The 4,978-nt window shown below is 44.5% G+C and overlaps 1 pseudogene; it reads left to right on the top strand.

Annotated features, from left to right (window-relative positions):
• On the top strand, positions 913-2,440 carry FLT1P1 (FLT1 pseudogene 1; annotated as a pseudogene).

The following is a 4,978-nucleotide window of genomic DNA, read 5'->3' as shown; positions in this document are numbered from 1 at the left end:
AACATTGTTCTGTAATCAATTATAAAATAATCTCTGTAAGAGAACTAAAAATTTAATTGGCATTGTTGAGCTGTGCCCGCTTCCCTTCTTTTGTGGAAGCCAAAGATCAATACCATAGAGATCAAAGTAGTGCAACGTTCCCTGGCCTGGGCAGCACTGCAGGCAGTAGTGGGCACAGAGGTGGGTCATGGGTCATGGAGCCTGGGGTGTGATCATGGATGTGTACATGGGTGTGCAAAAGGGAAAAAGGAAGAGGACTTCTGTGGGGCTCATTGAGAAAGAACAAAAGGAGACCTAGGAGGGCAGAACTGAGTGGAGACCAGGGACAGCTGATGCCAAGACCTTTTGAGATGTCCTGTAACCACTTCCACAGAGTTAATTTTGTGATCTACTTTCTGTTTCTCTGCATTTCAATACACAGCATTCTTTGGAAAGGAGTCTGTGTCCTTTCAGATCCTGCAGAGTGAAGGAAAAGAGGAAGAATCTCTGCCAAGAGGAAGCAGGGACAGTGAAAGCTCAATGTGGACCAAATCCAAAGCAGTGGAGGGAGGTAGGGCTGCCCGGAGCCCCCTTTGGCACAGCGCCCCTGCCCCACAGGGAAGGCTGCAGGATGGAGTAGGAAGCAAAGGCCTCTGCGCTTTTGATTGCATGCTGCCATCAACAACAGTTCTGGACATGTGCCTCTGACATATGAATATGCATTTGTTTATTTTTACAGATGTGTTCTACTGTAGTAGTGTCTTATGTGTAGAATAAAACACAAAAAAGAAGATAAGGGGTTGTGTGCCCAGCCCGGGCATGCAGTGGAAATGCAGGGCAGGGGAGAGGAGGCCTTCAGGGCACCACATGGGCCCCACGGTGCAGCTGGACTTCCTTCTCAACCCTCTTGCTTCCTTCAGACTGGGGTCAGATCAGCAAACAAAGGGCCTCTGATGGTGATTGTTGAATATTGCAAATATGGAAATCTATCCAACTACCTCAAGAGCAAATATGACTTATTTTTTCTCGACAAGGATGTGGCATCACACATGGAGCGTAAGAAAGAAAAAATGGAGCCAGGCCTGGAACAAGGCAAGAAACCAAAACTAGATAGCATCACCAGCAGCGAGAGCTTTGGGAGCTCCAAGTTTCAGGAAGATAAAAATCTGAGTGATGTTGAGGAAGAGGAGGATTCTGATGGTTTCTACCAGGAGCCCATCACTATGGAAGATCTGATTTCTTACAGTTTTCAAGTGGCCAGAGGCATGAAGTTTCTGTCTTCCAGAAAGTGCATTCATTGGGACCTGGCAGCAAGAAACATTCTTTTATCTGAGAACAATGTGGTGAAGATTTGTGATTTTGGCCTTGCCCAGGATATTTACAAGAACGCCGATTATGTGAGAAAAGGAGGTACTTGACTTCCTCTGAAATGGGTGGCTCTTGAATCTATCTTTGACAAAATCTACAGCACCAACAGCGATGTGCGGTCTTAGGGAGTATTGCTGTGGGAAATCTTCTCCTTAGGTGGGTCTCCATACCCAGGAGTGCAAATGGATGAGCACTTCTGCAGTTGCCTGAGGGAAGGCATGAGGATGAGAGCTGCTGAGTACTCCACTCCTGAAATCTATCAGATCATGCTGGACTGCAGGCACAAAGACCCAAAAGAAAGGCCAAGATTTGCAGAACTTGTGGAAAAACTAGGTGATTTGCTTCAAGCAAATGTATAACAGGATGGTAAAGACTACATCCCACTCAGTGCCATACTGACAGAAAATAGTGGGTTTACATACTCAACTCCTGCCTTCTCTGAGGACTTCTTCAAGGAAGGTATTTCAGCTCCCAAGTTTAGTTCAGGAAGCTCTGATGATGTCAGATACGTAAATGCTTTCAAGTTCATGAGCCTGGAAAGAATCAAAACCTTTGAAGAACTTTTGCCAAATGCCACCTCCATGTTTGATGACTACCAGGGGGACAGCAGCGCTCTGCTGGCCTCTCCCATGCTGAAGCGCTTCACCAGGACTGACAGCAAACCCAAGGCCTCGCTCAAGATTGACTTGAGACTAACTAGCAAAAGTAAGAAGTCGGGGCTTTCTGATGTCAGCAGGCCCAGTTTCTGCCATTCCAACAGTGGGCACATCAGCAAAGGCAAGGGCAGGTTCACCTACGACAACGCCGAGCTGGAAAGGAAGACGGCGTGCTGCTCCCCGCCCCTCTGGGAGTTGTAGTCGGCTAAAATTCTGTGGTCTTGTACTCCACCCGTCTAGAGTTTGACACGAAGCCTTATTTCTAGAAGCACATGTGTATTTATACCCCCAGAAAACTAGCTTTTGCCAGTATTATGCATATATAAGTTTACACTTTTACCTTTCCAGGGGAGCCGGCTGCTTTTTGTGAGTTTTTAATAGTGCTTTTTTTTTTTTTTTTTTTTTTTTTTTTGACTAACAGGAATGTTAACTCCAGACAGAGAAATGGTGACAAGTGAAGAACACTACTGCTAAATCCTCATGTTACTCAGAGTTAGAGAAATCCTTTCTAAGCCCAATGACTTCCCTAATCCAACCCCCGAGACCTCAGGGCACGCAAGACCAGTTTGATTCAGGAACTGCACTGATCACGCAATGCATCATGGACTCCACTGGGCCAGTCCCGCAGCCCAAAACCCAGGGCAATGAGCCCTGGTTTTATCTGAGCATTGTTCTCAGATAAAAGCCAGCCCCGGGGATCGCTGGCTGGCCTGAGCAACGTTTCGGGAGTCCTCTAACAGGCCTAAGACACGTGAGGAGGAAAAGGAAAAAAGCAGAAAACAAGGGAGAAAAGAGACACCGGGAGAAGGCATGAGAAAGAATTTGAGACGCACCATGTGGGCGAGGTGGGGGACAGGGCTCAGCAATGCCATTTCAGAGGCTTCCCAGCTCTGACCCTTCTACATTTGAGGGCCCAGCTGGGAGCAGACAAGACAGAGAACAGGGGACATTTTCTGGATTCTGGGAGGCAAGAAAAGGATAAACATCTCTTTTGGAGTTAAAGCACATTTTAAAACTATACCTATGGAACTGGTTCTATGTCCATTCCCATACATGGCATGTTTTGATTTATAGCACTGAGGGTGGTGCTCAACTCTGAGCCCATATTTTTGGCTCCTTTAGTAAGATGCACTGAAAACTTACCCAGAGCTAGGTTGTCTTCATGGCATGATGGTCTTACACTTAAAATGTCACATTCTATTTCGAGTATTAATATATAGTCCAGACACTTAACTCAATTTCTTGGTATTATCCTGTTTTGCACAGTTAGTTGTGAAAGAAAGCTGAGAAGAATGAAAATGCAGTCCTAAGGAGGGTTTTCTCCATACCAAAACTAGGACTGATGGAAGAAAAAGGTCAATAAGGTCGAGGGAAAACCCTGTCTCTATACCAACCAAACCAATTCACCAACACAGTTGGGACCCCAAACACAGGAAGTCAGACATGTTTCTTTTTCATTTTATGGGGATTCCACTGTCTCATACTAATCTGGAAAGGTGTGGAAGAGCATTAGCTGGTGCATATTAAGCACTTTAAGCTCCTTGAGAAAAAAGGTGGTGTGTAATTTATGCAAGATATTTCTACAGTTGGGACACAGGATATTAGTTAATGAGCCGTCACTAGAAGAAAAGCCCATTTTCCAAGGACTTCATGTCCAAAACACCAAAAGCAATGGCAACAAAAGACAAAATTGACAAATGCGATCTAATTAAACTAAAGAGCTTCTGCACAGCAAAAGAAACTACGATCAGAGTGAACAGGCAACCTACAAAATGGGAGAAAATTTTCGCAACCTACTCATCTGACAAAGGGCTAATATCCAGAATCTACAATGAACTCAAACAAATTTACAAGAAAAAAACAAACAACCCCATCAAAAAGTGGGCAAAGGACATGAACAGACACTTCTCAAAAGAAGACATTTATGCAGCCAAAAAACACATGAAAAAATGCTCATCATCACTGGCCATCAGAGAAATGCAAATCAATACCACAATGAGATACCATCTCACACCAGTTAGAATGGCGATCATTAAAAAGTCAGGAAACAACAGGTGCTGGAGAGGATGTGGAGAAATAGGAACACTTTTACACTGTTGGTGGGACTGTAAACTAGTTCAACCGTTGTGGAAGTCAGTGTGGCGATTCCTCAGGGATCTAGAACTAGAAATACCATTTGACCCAGCCATCCCATTACTGGGTATATACCCAAAGGACTATAAATCATGCTGCTATAAAGACACATGCACACGTATGTTTATTGCGGCATTATTCACAATAGCAAAGACTTGGAACCAACCCAAATGTCCAACAATGATAGACTGGATTAAGGAACTGTGGCACATATACACCATGGAATACTATGCAGCCATAAAAAATGATGAGTTCATGTCCTTTGTAGGGACATGGATGAAATTGGAAATCATCATTCTCAGTAAACTATCGCAAGGACAAAAAACCAAACACTGCATGTTCTTACTCATAGGTGGGAATTGAACAATGAGAACACATGGACACAGGAAGGGGAACATCACACTCTGGGGACCGTTGCGGGGTGGGGGGAGGGGGGAAGGATAGCATTGGGAGATATACCTAATGCTAGATGATGAGTTAATGGGTGCAGCGCACCAGCATGGCACATGTATACATATGTAACTAACCTGCACAATGTGCACATGTACCCTAAAACTTAAAGTATAATAAAAAAAAAAAGAGAAAAGCCCATTTTCAACTGCTTTGAACCTTGCCTGGGGTCTGAGCATGATGGGAATAAGGAGACTGGGTAGGAAAGAACGCCTACTCTTCAGGGTCTAAAGATCAAGTGGGCCTTGGATCGCTAAGCTGGCTGTGATGCTATTTATGCAAGTTAGGGTCTATGTATTTAGAATGTCTGCACCTTCTGCAGCCAATCAGAGGCTGGATGAGCAACAGTGGATTGCTGCTTCTGGGGGAGAAGAGTATGCTTCCTTTTATCC

The sequence above is a fragment of the Homo sapiens genome, chromosome 3, assembly GCF_000001405.40.
Source record: "Homo sapiens chromosome 3, GRCh38.p14 Primary Assembly".
NCBI lineage: Eukaryota > Metazoa > Chordata > Mammalia > Primates > Hominidae > Homo > Homo sapiens.
The sequence above is the reverse complement of the archived record's forward strand: the minus strand, read 5'-3'. Positions and strand labels throughout refer to the sequence as shown.